Genomic DNA, 16,473 nt, shown 5'->3' on the forward strand with positions numbered 1-16,473 from the left:
AGTTGGTTACCTCTTACGAAGAGGTAGAGATGGGATAAAAGGGGGCACAAATTTGTAAGTTATTGGTAATATTTACTTGTTGGGTTTATGCCTGTTATATTATGAAATAAATATTATAAAATAAAACAGAATTTACCATGGATGACAGTGAGTCATGAACCAAACTTATAATTAATCTACCTCTGTGACCTGAGGTCCACATTATTTTAAAACAAACAAAAAATAACAATAATCATTCATATTTACGTTTCCTTCTCAGCCATACATTTTCTTTTCTACTTAGCATTTTCCACTGTGACACAGTAGGTGCCAGTTGTGTTTATACAGAAGCTACAATAAACAAGACTTTTTATTAAATGCAAATGTCACCACGCAGTAGAATCAACTATTGACTTTGTGCAACCTCTCATCAACAGAACCATCAATACGTCTAGCAAGGCACAGGATTTATTGTCTATGCACACCTTTCAGAGGGCTTCCTGAAACACAACTAGCTTCCATAATTGGTAACCAAATAAAACCGCAGGCCACCAGAAGCAGAATATAACTCTCTCTAGGAAGCTGTAAATTAAAGGGAGATTTGTCTAACTAAATGTACAGTGCTGCACTCACATGGGCATTTCATCTCTTGCTCTTTAATGGAGGCAGTCCTTGTACCCCTACTTCACATTACGAATATGGTTTCATCTCTGACAGAAAGGCCAGAGCACCTGGCAGAGTCCTCACATGCTCCCTCCTTTTACCTTTTCCATTGCATTAATTAATTAGAACTGTCTTTATATTCAGTGACATTTGATTTTGAGGACATTTTTACAAAATAACAACACCAGGTCCAAGTTCACTACAGCAATAGGATCTACAAGAACCCAAAGAATGAATGCTTTTTAGCAAATGAGAACACAAAGTCACATGATCTTTATTTTTAAAAAGCTCATAAACTATGTCAGGCAGGGGAATCACATTGCCAGACACCATAAAACAACATATAATTAAACTCTAGCAGTCCATTAGAAGACCTAGTGACAAGCCCTTCTCCACTGCTGCAACAAAGGTGGGATGATTTACATGTAGACTGGGAAAAGTCCCATGATATTAGACCAAAATCCAGCACTGCTGCTAATTTTTTTAGACTGAAATGTGATTGCCCAATATTAAATTGTTACCATTAGTGGGGAAAAAATAGCTTATTCTAACAAATACTTAATTTCTCTCTAGCTTTGGTGCAGTCCTGACTTGTAGTTTATTCTAATAAATAATTTAAAAATAATTTTGGTCACCTCCCATATGATCCAAAGTAATGCTATTTGAGATCAATAGGACTAACATTTTCTATCTGGTATCCATGGAGTTTTTTATCCAATGAGAGAGAACATTCAGGAACTTAGCCTGTCTCATGGCTGAAAATAGGTAGAATATGTTAGGTGTGCGTTTGATACAATCTGTAAATAAAAGGCAAATTATAAAAGTTCCCCTCCCTGCAGAGACGAAGTCCCACAATAGGGTGCACAAGCTGCATTTCAACCCCCACCCACACCTCAGATATGCATCTTCATTCAGTGCACAGAAGACTCAACTGTAGGGGCGGCCTGGATACACATGCCATGTTTCTTCCTTGCCCACTTGGTGTCTTCACATCCCCTTCCCCTTAAAATAATCCCATTAGTTGAAAAGTTCCTGGATACAAGGAGCAGCCATCAAAGTCCATGGATGGATTTCAAGGGGATGAATTCATTTAACATTATTAAATGTTTACTTTGCTAATTCTCAATACTTGTACACAATATAAGACATGATTTCTTCTGTCTATAATATGAAGTCTGTGATTAGAGTAATATTTCAATTTTTGGTTTGTTTGTTTTGACTTGGAATTAGCAGTAGGATACCAACTTAAGTCAAATTTACTAGTTCTCATTTTCCCTAATTCAGCATTTGTTTTCATCTATAGAATTCCTTTTCTTAAGTCAGGCTCTTTGGGGTCATCAGCCCCCTGAAATCATGTGCAAAATGGGATGCCTATGTGCACATGCCTCTTTCTGTGAGGATCGGTACCTGAGAACTTTGATGCCAAGTTAAAAAGACTGTGCCTTGAGTTTTTGACACTAGGGAATGAAGGAAAGTATGAGATAAAGAATATACAACATCTGCCACAACTACTGCATATTTTCTTTCTATATCACATTCAACAGTTTATTACAATCACCAGGCTTTTCATTCCCATAAAGCAATGTTCAGACTTCAAATGTGCTAATAATTTAGCTGGAGAATTTGAGAAAACTACACATTCCTCTCCAACACCCCCACCCCCACCTCCTTAGCCCCAAGAATCAGATTTCATCACTCTGGAAGAGAACTCAGATATCTGCACTTTTTACAAGTGCCTCATGTGATTCTGAGGCAATGGTGAGAGACCCAAGCTTTGAAAAACGTGCCATGATCTACCATCAAGTAGGAATCATGTACATAAGTTCTTCCATTAGAGGAAAAAATAAATGTATTTGTTTCTTTGTAAAGATAGGACGTTGGAAATTTTCACTTAGATTACTCTGTAAGCGACAAGGAAATTAGAAAGCTCGTTTTTTACAATAATCACTGTTACTTGACAGTTCCTGCAGCATGTTAAGATGGCTGTTATTGATGACACTTATTACCTTTTCCCATGCAATAAAACACAGGAACATACAGTGGAAGAGATAAGTATATTTTAAAACAACAGAAGGAAGAAAAATAATGGTAGTCATGTCCTCTCATTATTTGTGTAGACTGACTACCATGGGGAACAGTGAAATGCCTTTTTTAAAGTTACACTGTGGCTTTAAATTGGGTTAACTCAGTGAGGATAGCCATGAAACAAGTGGCTATAGAGATGTAAAGAATGGGCTATTTCTCTACATTTCTCTTTTGCCTTTTATTTTCCCTATGGTCTTTAATGCATTTCTCTTTGGAATGGATGAAGTTATAAAGTTGCCTTACATAAAAGCTTTGCTTGAAAGATTGGTAATCACGCACTTTGCTACTGAATTGTCCAGTCTATTCAATCTAAAAAAGGCTCTTCTCTTTTGTTCAGCTCAGATTATCTCCTTTGCAGAGTGTAATAGAAATATCTGGGTATAAAATTGAGAAATTGTTCATAAATATTATGGAAGGCTTTTTGAGCTGTTTACTATTAGAGGCCTGATTTAGCAAACAGTAAGCCTGCTTTTGCTGGGTTGGGATTTTTTATTTTTTAACTTTTTCCTTTTAACTGAATCATCCACAGTTAAAAAAAAAAAAAAAAGATACAGATTTCACAGCACTTTCACCCATGATTAGAGCAGAAGAAAACAAATTGCTTTTTTTTTTTTTAGATGGAGGTTTGCTTTGTCGCCCAGGCTGGAGTGCAGTGGCGCAATCTCGGCTCACTGCAACCTCCACCTCCAGATCCAAGTGATTCTCTTGCCTCAGCCTCCCAGGTAGCTGGGACTACAGGTGCATGCCACCACGCCCGGCTCATTTTTTGTATTTTTAGTAGAGACGGGGGTTTCACCATGTTAGCCAGGATGGTCTCGATCTCCTGATTTCGTGATCCGCCCACCTTGGCCTCCCAAAGTGCTGGGATTACAGGCATGAGCCACTGCACCCAGCCACAAATTGCTATTTTTAAGAGACAGTTTTAATATCTTGTACTACATTTGGAGAAGAAAAAAACATCAGCACTGCTATCGCCTATAGGCAACTTTCTTATCTTGCCATTTCTTTATTTAAAGTCTTTGCACTGAACCAGCCAATGAAATGCATTATTCTACTGGCCAGCGTTCTCTAGCAGAAACAAGAGACAGCATGCATTACTGAGAAGTCAGACACATTTGCACTAAATCAAAAAATAAAAATAAAAAGACTCTCTAGCTAGAGGTTAATAACACAACTCAATCAAAACCAGTGACATTTTTTATCAAACAGTCGTGAAATTGCCATTTGGAACTCTAACTTGCTACAAATAGAATTAAAAGTGCCATTCTAATTCTGTCTCCTTGTACAATACGACCCTGATATGGAAAACAAGGTGTCTACACTGAACACATCCAGTTTACAAGAGAAAAAACGGGATGATTTTTTGATTCTCTCAAATATTAGGTAAGTGTTTAACACATGACTCCTGAGTGGGAGTGCCAGTTAAAGAGTTGTAGTACCTGTCAACGCTGGTTTAACATTTCAACAAAGCAAATCATCAATTAAAACTCATCAGCAACAGTCATCCTGTTAATTGACCAAATGATTATCCTTCTTTTAGTTAAGACTCTACCTGACACACTTGAAGAAATTTTTTTCTCTGTTGTAAACCCTCTGGAGTCTGTGGCACACCTCACCTTGGCAAACCACTTTGGTTTTCAGATTCACTGGAAAGCCCCTCTTTGTTCTAAGAGGGGCTCCTGAATGAAAGCCAAGTTCTAGTCTGACTTTCTGATTGCTTCTTCTCAGGTTTTTTTCTTGCTTCCTACCAGGAGAAGGAAAAAGGTAGTCATAGGCCATCTGTTAAACTTGTGTTTAAAGGGAAGTACCAAGGTATGGCCAGCTGGATATTTTACTCAACATGGTGGATCATACTCAAGGTAGTGTATAAATGGTTTAGCAGTGAATTCCACCCCATACTTCTTGGGGTAACATCTATGCTATCAAGCCCTTAAAACCAAATCCAACTAGCTCTAAACCATAAACATATATTATGATTCAAGCATTTGCAGGAAAAAAATTGTGCTTCAGTATAAAACTTTGCTTCATCTAGAATATAAAGGATCCCATTTCCCAATTACCATATTATCAGATTCTGATTCTATGAGGACTAATTTTCAACTCTGTAAATTATAGATAAATGATAACAATGCAAAATAATTCTTGCCTATAGGCAAGCAAATTGTGTTCTGTTCTCTGGAGGTTCAATTAATCCCCCTACCCCACCCTCAGAAACCAGTTTTGCCCTCCATTTGTAACATTCTTTTCAGTATTCCTGATATATAAATGTGTCTGGGCTTTTTGGATTCTCTTTAGACTAGTTATAATATTTGGCTGGTTCTCTCATTATAAGTTGACCTAATCTTTAACATGTTTTCATTTTATATCAGTATGAGAGTCATGATTTCACCTTTATTTGAGAATTATTCTTTAATACATGTATAGATCTTGGACTAAGGCTATCAATTTCGAGACTTCACTTGTAGGACTGTGCTGTACTCCTGTCTCTCACACTCTCTGCACATGCCATTTCCCAGCCTGGAATGTTCTTCCCTCCTCCCCACTCCAGCTTCTGGACCTAGTTAATTCCTAATCTTCACTCAGATTTGGGCACAATTATAGCCTCCATAAACAAGCATTGCCTAACTACCCCTCCTCTCTGCCAAGAAGTTTAGATCTCCCTGTTATAGTTCTTGCACTTAACACCATTGACATTTATCTGTCTGGATTTTCTGACTAATGTCTCTTTTCCTCACTAGAATAATGCTCGCTGATGGTAGGGACCATATCCGGTTTTACATACCATTGCACCCAGTTAGGTGTCTGGCACACAGAAGGCTGAAACAATATTTGTTGTGATGGGGTTCTTGACACACTACCCCAAAATATGGCATGTCGGCATTTGACAAAACAGTGGAAGCAGGAAAGTCTCTCTGACCTTCTCCCACACTTTTCCCCTGAAGCAGGCCATAAAAGAAATCTCTAGCCTTCCTCTAAAGTGGGTCATAGGCCTTATTCAAGAGGCACCCTTCCTATGCCTGGAGGAAAGGAATGTCATTATCTCTGAAGGCACAGAGATAAAGAGAAAAATCTGAATAAAGAAGGCTTGCTAAGTTCCCCCCAGTTTATTATCTTTAGATCACACCCCCTATGTCCAATCATACTTCTACACAACTGTCTGCTCTTCATCAAATTTAGCATAAAAATATACAAGTTTCCCTGTTTCTTTGAGTCTTCCTTTCTCCATGTCACATAAAACTTATACTAAATAAATTTATGTCCCTTTCTCTTATTAATCTTTCTTTTGTTATAGGGGCCTCAGCCATTAACCTGGCAATGGAAAAGAAAAATATTTTCTTCTCCCTTGCAGTTGCGTACATCAGCAACACAGTAGATCCATGGATCAGTGAACAAATTGGGCTATGAATATTCCTATTATAAATCAGAAAAACAGATCTAGACCAAAGCTGACCAAAGGAGAAGGAAAAGGAGAGACTGCATTTTGATGTAAGTGTTACTGATTTGAAAAACCATGGAGATCGATCACCTACTACAAGGTCCAATGGTATTCCAGATTCTAGAAAAGACCTAGATAAAAATATAAAGTCTCTGAAAGTCCTCTCATCTTCTCCAAAGAGTCCTAAAATCCAAAAGAACCTAGGATTTCTGGGTATTTTGAACCTGAACAAAGGCAAAGCACAAAAAGCATGGTATAGAAGAAGGCTTCTCAAAGTGTGGTTCCCAGACCAGCAGTACCTCTTGGAAACTCTCAGGCCTCATCTCAGACCTACTGATGAAATCAGAAACTCTGGAAGAGGGACCAGCCATCTAGGTATCAACAATCGCTTCAGGTGAAACTGATGCTTGTTAGAGACTCATTGGCATAGAACAAAGATGGGCCTCAACAAAGATGGAATCACCAGACTCCACTGTAAATAGCTGTGAAACACTGAGCAAGTTATTTAAGTTCTCTAAGCCTGAGTTTACTTATGAGGAAAAATGGGGATAATAACAACAAAAACTATCCCACAGAAATGTGGTAAGAATTTTTTTTTTTTGTTTCAACTTTTATTTTAGATTCAGGGGGTATATAGGCAAGTTTGTTACCTGAGTATATTGTATGATGCTGAGGTTTGGAGTACAAATGATCCTGTCATCCAGGTACTGAGAATAGTACTCAACAGTTAGCTTTTCAACCCTTGCTTCCCTCCCTCACTCACTCCTCCAGTAGTCCCCAGTATCAATTGTTGCCATCTTTATGTCTATGAGTACCCAACATTTAGCTCCCACTTACAAGTAAGAACATTTGGTTTTCTGTTCCTGCATTAATGCACTTAGGATAATGGCCTCCAGTTGCATCCATGTTGCCACAAAGGACATGCTTTTGTTCTTTTTTTATGACTGTATTGTATTCCATGGTATATATGTACCACATTTTCTATATCCAATCCACCATTCATAGGCACCTAGGTTGATTCCATGTCTTTGCTATTGTGAATAGTGCTGCATGAACATATACATGCATGTGTCTTTTTGATAAAATGATTTGTTTTCTTTTGCATATATCCTCAGTAATGTGATTGCTAGGTTGAATAGTAGTCCTGTTTTAAGTTCTTTGAGAAATCTCCAAACTGCTTTCCACAGTGGCTGACCTAATTTACATTCTCGACAACAGTTTATAAGCATCCTTTTTCCCCACAGCCTCACCAACATGTGTTGTTTTTAGACTTTTTAATAATAGCCATTCTGACAGTGTGAGATGGTATCTCACTGTGGTTTTGATTTGCATTTCTCTGATGATTAGTGATGATGAGCATTTTCTCATATGTTTGTTGGCCACTTGTATGTCTTCTTTTGGGAAGTGTCTGTTCATATCTTTTGCCCATCTTTTAATAGAGTTACTTGTTTTTTGCCTGTTCAAAAAATTTTGAGTAATGTCTATAAATTGCCTAGAAAATTGACTGACAGGCTGGGCACAGTGGCTCATACCTGTAATCCCAGCACTTTGGGAGGCTGAGGTGGACAGATCACCCAAGGTCAGCAGTTCAAGACCAGCCTGGCCAACATGGTGAATCTCTGTCTCTACTAAAAATACAAAAATTAGCCAGGTGTGGTGGCGCATGCCTGTAATACCAGCTACTCGGGAGACTGAGGCAGGAGAATATCTTGAACCCAGGAGTCAGAGGTTGCAGTGAGCTGAGATCGAGCCATTGCACTCCAGCCTGGGTGACAAGAGTGAGACTCTGAAAAAAAAAGAGAAAGAAAGAAGAAGAGAGAGAAAATTGGTTGACAAAGAATGGATACTAATGAAATAATAGCTGCTATTGAATTTATCATTCATGTCAGTAGCAGCAGCAGCAGCACCATCATCACCATTACCATCACCTTGTCTAGATTCTTAAGGCCTGGAACCCAGGGTTGGAAGAAACTGTTGTCCTTTTGCCTCATACATCAGCAAAGCGTGCATAGGGCTCTTAGGAATTGGGCAGGAGGAATCCAAATTTGTGCACCATTACTGTCTTCTAGCTGATGCCACCGTTTTTTGTCAGTCATTTATACTAAAATATACTAACTTAGATAGGTACAGAATTTAAGAGGTTACACAAGCACTTAGCACACATGCTATCTGATCTTCACAAACAACCTGAGAGTAGTTATTTAATTCAGAGAAGTTAGTGGACTTGCCCAAAGTCACATTGCCAGTCCTCACAGTCATCTGAAGAGCCAGACTTGAATCCAGGTATTTTGATTCCAAACCTAGTGCTTTCTTCTCTACTCCTCGTCTATACTTCTGTTTTCATTATACCACCTTGCCAAGGAAACAAACACTCACCAGACACACTGTAGAGTAAAATAGACCTGACATCCTTTAGAGTTCTTCTTGGATCCTGGAATGTGGTTCTTATTGTCTCTACTTACAAACCTCACATTTACAGAAGCAGGCTGTATTTTTTTAACACCTTCCTTATTAGCAATAATTGGTCCCTTCTGCTGTATGTTTGTTTGATTTTTAATACACACAGTTCAAGATTAACTCAAATCTGTTCAACACCAATCTTTCTAAAAACCAACTTTCCAAATATCCACTTGTAACACAGAAAACTGCAGATCGTCTTTCCTGCTTCCAAAATACAGTCACTTTCATAAATGTTGTCCATTCATTCTAGCACTGAGTGTTCATAAAGCACCTACTCATTGCTAGGCACTATGTGAGGCAATGGGCACACAGGTGTGGTGTCTTAAGTAAGACAGGTGTGGTGCTTTCCATCCTGGAAGTGTGAGGGAGTCTGGCAATAAAAAAATCAACAAATAAAAGAAAATAGCCACAGGTTAGAGTAAGTGCCATTGCAAAGCCTCAACAGGTAAAATGATGAAGTAGTCACTCACATTTTCTTCAGGGGCTGGAGAAGCCCAGGGAATGACTCCAGACAGGGTGGTCCAAGGTCCACTTCTCACTCTTCAGATAAAAACACAAACAAGCATATCTTGACACAGAAAATCTAATGTGAAAATCCGGTAAGTGGAAATATGAGTTGACAGAATGGGTGATTTAGAAACGGATTATCTACTTTAACATGAGAATTCGATACAGGATTTTTCTTGAGCACTTTCCTAATACAAATACATTTTATATTTATATCCCTATTAAATATATACTATATTTAATATAAATATAAAAGTTGGATGCCATTTATAAAAATTCAATTAATAACAAAATGAAACAGCTACTGCCAAAAACTTGCATATACAGACGTTAAAAGAAATACGGGGCTGGGTGCTGTGGCTCATGCCTGTAATCCCAACACTTAGGGAGGCTGAGGCGGGCAGATCAATTGAGGTCAGGAGTTCGAGACCAGCCTGGCCAACATGGCAAAACTCCATCTCTACTAAAAATACAAAAATTAGTCGGGCATGTGCCTGTAGTCCCAGATACTTGGAAGGCTGAGGCAGGAGAATCACTTGAACCTGGGAGGCAGAGGTTGCAGTGAGCTGAGACTGCACCACTGCACTCCAGCCTGGGCAGCAGAGTGAAACTGTGTCTCAAAAAAAAAAAAAAAAAAGAAAGAAAAGAAAAGAGAAAAGAGAATAAAAGAAAAGGAAAAGAAAGGACAGGACAGGAAAGGAAAGGAAAAGAAAAGAAAAAAGAAAAGAAGGTACCAAGAGGTGGAAAGGAACAGGGAGAAAGAAAACAGTTATTCAATGTTTTTGGAGGCCCAAGCACAGGGTTTTGGCATAATTTATTTAGTCCATAAAACAACTCTGTATTTAGGGATCATCCACATTTTACAACAAAGGAAACCCAATTTCAGTGAGGTGAGATTATTTGTCCAAGATCTCTCAGCTGGTAAGTGACAAAACCACAACATAAAAATCTGATCTATATCCAGTAACTATATCCCATCCATTCTATAAAGCAAGAATTGGCACACCACAGCCCACAGGGCCAGACTTGGACAGCAGCCTCTTGATACCACCACAAATTAAGAATGATTTTTACATTTTAAAAGCACTGAAAAAATTCAAAAGAATTATGTTTCATGACACATGAAAGTTTTATAAAACTCAGATTTCCATACCAATAAATAAAATGCCATTGGTACACAGCCACATTTACCTACTGTCTAGAGCTGCTTTCAAATTGCAAGATGGTGTTGAGCAGTTGTGAAAGAATCAGTAGGGTCCCAAGGCCTAAAATACTTACTGTCTGGCCCTTTACAAAAGAAGTTTGCTAACCCCTGAGGTAGAGAAAAGGATCCATAGAAATAAAAGTAACAAACACTCTCAGAAATGTGACTTCAAAAATGAGTGACAAAAGTATGCAAAAAATGGCTATAAAATGCACCTGAAAGAATTTAACCTAATGGCAGTTGCCTGAGGCACAACTTTCTCAATTTCACCTGAAGGTTTCATTTTTCTGGCCCTGTGTCCCAGTGAGGAAGACCCAAGTCAACCTTGTGACAGGGATTTATCACGTCTTAACTTGAGCAATGCTGTGTTCCCACCAGCACTCTCAGAATGGAGGCCACACAATGTCTCCACTCCTGCATTCACTGGCTCAACTTGGTTTCTGAAGAATGCGAATTTAGTTCAAGGCACGGTTTCAAGCTGTTTTTGTTGATTTCCCACTATATTGTCTTCTCTAAATATTTTCTGGTTCAAGTGCATACGCTCAATTATGAAAATGAATTCTTACAAACAACCTGATCTGGGCGGATAGTTAACTCACACCATGAAGCTCAAATTTGCCAGTACAGGGAAAGGTATTTCTTTTTCTTTTCAGTCTTCAGGCTACAAGGTTGAAAGCCAGAAGCTATGTGTTATAAAATGTCCCTAGTTTTTCCCATGTTTTGTAGCACACATATTGATCTCTATGTCTTTGCCATTTACTTGTGTGTGGTCATCCCCAATTAGTGGGTTATTTTGTACTTTTCAAAGTTAAATTCTAAGTCAATACTTAGGGCGTACACCTAAGTCAAAGATGGCCTCCACCTTGAAGGAAAAAAATTATTACATTTCAACGAAAACCTACACATCATCTATAAACACACTCTTTCCAGCTGTCTGACTCTAGCCTTGTACAATGTCTTTGAGCTATTTTGCACCACTTCGTAAGTTGTAGATAACTGATAGATATATATAAATTCTGTCTTACAGGCTGTGATTTTAATTGACTTCCTACTGTGGAGAAAACAGTTTTATCTCAATTTGCAACTCATCTTAACTCTCTTTTAGTCCATATAAATTTGTGCCATTTTGACTTTTCCTTTGAGCCAGTTATAACATCTGCCTGGTTCTCTCAAATCATATAAGTAAAATAAAATCTTTAGCATGTGTTCATTTTTATACCTATATGAGTCATAACTTTACCTTTTACTGAAAATTATATTTTAATGACCCAAAAGATTAGTAAGAATTCAGATTTATTTCAAAATCTATCTTTAAAAACTTTAAATTTTGAGTGATTTCACCTTTAATATGAATTTAGTTGGAAGTAATATTAAGTTAGTTTAAATCATATAGAAAAATGAAATGTGATGAGAAGTGAACTTCTTTGTTCCCTTTTATTGCTTTTAAAATGATACAAGACAAAAATTGTGCAGAGGGGCAAGAAACAAATGTTAAACAAAAATTATTCTGACATGTGTTAAAATGGTAAGGAAGACTTTATTAAGGACTATTGCAATAGCAGTATTGCAACAGGGGAGAGAGATCAGGTTCAACTCCAAATACAACAAAGATAGATAGTCAGGGATTTATAGCCAGTGTTAGAGCAGATAAGGGGTTCAGTGGGTAGAAAACTACTAAGAGGAGTAAGGGAATTCTTGCTAAATTAATTCCTAACAGGATTCTTGCTAAAGGCAGGCCAATGACTTAGACATCAAGGGTGGGGTGAGAAACTTGATTAGACATCACGGTGACCAGCTATCACTTAAAAAGATTATTGCTAAAGCCAGGCTAGAAAGATCAAATACAGGAATGAGGTCTGGGGCCAAGGTCGCTAGTTGAGAAAAGGGCTCAGAGGAGTATAATTAAAGTTTGGGCAAGGAGAAAATCTTCATCATAGGTAATAGCAAATTTATAAAAGGACAATTCAATTCAATAAATCTTGTCCTCAAGGAATTTACAATCCACTGAAAAGAGATAATTAAGTCACCACAACCTGGTCAAATTACCTTGGTTTTACTTTGCAATTAAATTTTATTCCCATATGAATCTATATGTAAATAATCTCTTTAAAGAAAACAAATAAAATGAGAAGTTAAAGTTATTTCTATCTCTGTAATCTTTATTTTAACCTTTATTTTAACTTCAGGGGTACATATGCAGGCTTGTTACAGAGGTAAACATGTGTCATGAGGGTTTGTTGTACAGATTATTTCATTACCCACATGTTAAACCTAGTACCCATTAGTTATTTTTCCTGATCCTCTCCCTCCTCTCTCCCACCCTCCAATAGGCCCTAGTGTGTGTTGTTCCCCTCTATGTGTCCATGTGTTCTCATCATTTTGCTCCCACTTATAAATGAGAATATGCAGCATTTGGTTTTCTGTTCATGTGTTAGTTTGCTAAGGATAATGGCCTCCATCTCCATCCGTGTTCCTGCAAAGGACATGATCTTGTTCTTTTTTTGGCTGCATAGTATTTAATGGTGTATATGTACCACCTTTTCTTTACCCAGTCTATCATTGATAGGCATTTAGGTTGATTCCATATCTTTGCTATTGTGAATAGTGTTGCAATGAACATATGCATGCATGTGTGTTTATAACACAATGATTTATACTCCTTCAGGTATATAGCCAAGATTTTTCCATAATCCCACTGGTATTAGATACCCAAAAAAATCCCATTGGTATTATATACCCAAAAAATACCAATGGGATTATCAGATTACTGGACCAAATGATATTTCTGTCTTTAGGTCTTTGAGGAATCACTACACTATCTTCCATAATGGTTGAACTAATTTACACTCCCACCAAAGGTGTATAAACATTCTTTTTTCTCCACAACCTCACTAGCGTCTGTTACTTTTTTAGCTTGTTAATAGTAGCCATTCTGACTGGTGTGAGATGGTATCTCATTGCGGTGTTGATTTGCATTTCTCTAATGATCAGTGATGTTGAGCTTTTTTGCACACGATTTTTGGCCGCATGTATGTCTTCTTTTGAAAAGTGTCTATCAAGTCCTTTGCCCACTTTTTTATGGGGTTCATTTTTTCCTTGTAAATTTGTTAAGTTCCTTATAGATGCTGGATATTAGACTTCTGTCAAATGCATAGTTCGCAAAAATGTTCTTCCATTCTATAGGTTGTCTGTTTAGTCTGCTGATAGTTCCTTTTGTTATGCAGAAGCTCTTTCATTATCTCTATAATCTTAATTTATAGACTAAAATATTAATTTGAAAATATACCAACTAAAGTGTATCACACACCTAAATCAAGGATTTTATAAAATACACTAAAACAGAAACTAAACATAGACTATTTATTCAACTTTCATATAAGCAAAAGACACCACTATTGGCCACCAACCTCACTACTCCCAGCCTGTGAAACAGGATGATTATGGGTATTTGTGAAATCTAAACATCACCACTCACTACATTAAAATGAAATGGCAACAAATTTCCACAAGTCTTTTTACTCAAAGTGTGGTGGCCCAACCCAGCAATCTGGGCATCACCTGGCACTTGTTATAAATGCAGACCCTCAGGCCCCACCTGCTGAATCTACATTGTACCAAGATCCCCAGAAAATTCTTATGTACATGAAAGTTTGAAAACCATGGATCCAGAAGTGTGTGAAAACATAACTACTGCCAGAATTTTTAGCATATTCCCTTATTCATCTCTTTTTTATGAAACTAAACGTAGTGGTTTTGCTGATAGAGATGGACGGGGGAAAAGAAATTTTGTTGTGACCAAAGTTGCTGCATTTTTTGCCTAGGGGTGGACCTAAAGTTTCATGTCAATCATTTTGTTTTGTGAGCAAAATCAAAGTCATGGGGAAAAAGGAGAGGGTGCAGAAAGAAGAAAATTGTGAATACATAGAATTTTATCACTGGAAGACAGAAAACAATCTCAATTATATATATAGTATATGTACTCAATACAGTAATGGTTAAATAAACCATGACACAACTATGCAAGAGCATATATAAAGACATTAAAAATAACAAGGTCATTTTTCATGTACCAAGATGCAGTGATCTCTAATGTAAACTTAGCTTAAAATATGCAAGGGGAAAAATGCAAGGGCAGCACAGCATATATAATGACTTATTATTCATGTAAGGAAAAGGACATAAGTGTGCATATGCATAGAACATCTCTGGAATGACACACAAGAAAGACACACAATGGTTACTGCCCAGAGGGGAGCTGAGGCACGAGGGACAGAAATGGAAGGAGACTGACATCCCACTGTGCATCTTTTAACATCTTTTGAATTATGTGATAGTATTATCCAATTAAAACAATATTTTAATCTAAGCATTGAAGAATTCCTAAAAAGTAGATAAAATACAGTTACTAAGATAATAAAGGAATCCCTTCTTCATTTTCCCTCATAGATGGTTATGTGACTATGTCCAAACACTTTCTGTGAGTTACAGATCTGAGAAGTTGTGTCTAAAATTCACTGACACTGGAGCTTAAATCCACGTGCCTAGAATGCTCCTCACTGCCCCCACACAACCCCTGAGAGCCCCCACTGATGCCAGTTCTCTCTGCAACACAAACTAAGCCTCTTCCTGTCTCAGCTGTGAACACATTTGCAGAAGGCTATTGTGGTTTTCCTTAGTCAGGGGTCAGAATGGCCAGCAGGGGCAGGCAGGTATCCTAAACGAGTAAAGCAGGCCTAGCCAAAACAAAGTGAGCCTTTACCCCTCCACCTGCAATGAAACAGGGCAGCAACTATTCTGCTCCAAGGAAATACTACCATGGAGGAGACAGGGCCAGATGTTGCCATGTCTTCCCAGGGATGTCAGAAGCTGCTAAATTTATTTTAAATACCTTGATTTAAAAATGTTAATATTTTAATTTTTTAAAAACAGTTTACAGACCAAATAAAATACATGTGCAGCTAGATGTAACCTAGAAGTTCATAATCCATCCTGTCATCTTTCGTGTGTGGAACCATGAACATTTCTCTTTTTGTTATTTTCTCATTGGAGCTGCTGAAAAGAAAAAAAAAATCTCTTTTTAAAAAACTCAAACAGCTATATTTTGGAGATTCGACAATTTACTAATCTATCACTCCAAAATGTGCTGTATAATTTATTTGACAGTCACTGTGCTTGCCTAAGAACTAAAAATAACCTCATTGTATGTGTGTGTGTTGTTTCTAAAGACCTGTGGTATTTATTATTGTTAGAATGCTTTCGATGTCTTTGGTGGTATGAACTGTGAGGTATCTCTGAAGGATAGCATTTCACTGTATTTCACAGAATATACATATACAGTCCATCAAAACTCTGGGGGTTATTTGCAAAACATAGTTCTCATTTTCCAACAAGCTTTCAGCGGAAGAAAGTTTCATAGAAAAAAATACAAATTTCCTACCACTCTACTTTGTGAGAACCTAAAGAGACTGTTAGGTTATAAAAAAGAAAATTGAGGGATAAATTTAACACTTAAAAGTGACTCTTCTAGCAGGAGGTTTGGGCACCCAGCCAGATTAAGGAGAAGTAGCTTTATACACACATCTTAACAGCAGTCTGAATATCAAATCTTCACTACTCTTTGCTTAAAGCCCAGTACCTACTGAGTCATCCCAGCCAGCATGTCCCTTCTAACTTGTCATCCTGTTTGTTATCACTCTATGCCCTCTGCAGTACTCTGGACTTTGAATGTGAGATTACTTTATTTAAGTGAACTGCAATTGAAAAAAGAACTCTTTTGATTGAATCTTGACCTGCAGTAATTGGGAACTTATGTAAGGACCCCATGATACTCATATTAAGGGGAGTGTGGGAGGATCCCACTACTAAAGCCTGGCTGCAGAAGAGGGATAATGGAAACTGCAGGTGTTAGAAAGGTACCAACATACATCTTCCCCCTATAGTACATGGACTCAGTTTTTACATATGGCTATGCTTTCTATTCTGCTTAAGTAACATAAAAACTGATTAGGAAACTCAAGATCTTGCACTACATATAAAATCTGCATCCATTGCTTATGGTCTAAAGTAAATGCAACAACTGACAATTCTTACAGAGTCTCAAAACCAAGAACCACCATGATAAAACAATTATACTGCAATG

At 37.6% G+C, this 16,473-nt stretch overlaps 1 protein-coding gene across 8 annotated transcripts in view, besides 1 other annotated feature; it reads right to left on the reverse strand.

The window, feature by feature from the left end:
* Positions 1 to 16,473, reverse strand: part of FHIT (fragile histidine triad diadenosine triphosphatase) — a 1,504,176-nt gene that overhangs the window by 1,410,603 nt on the left and 77,100 nt on the right. The gene's annotated exons all lie outside the window — the stretch shown is intronic.
* Positions 15,911 to 16,020: an enhancer, noted in NCBI's record as "active region_20020". NCBI's record gives its function as "activates an Ori minimal core promoter by ATAC-STARR-seq in GM12878 lymphoblastoid cells {active_cell/tissue: GM12878}" and the evidence as "EXISTENCE:reporter gene assay evidence [ECO:0000049][PMID:35858748]".

The sequence above is a fragment of the Homo sapiens genome, chromosome 3, assembly GCF_000001405.40.
Source record: "Homo sapiens chromosome 3, GRCh38.p14 Primary Assembly".
Taxonomy (NCBI): domain Eukaryota; kingdom Metazoa; phylum Chordata; class Mammalia; order Primates; family Hominidae; genus Homo; species Homo sapiens.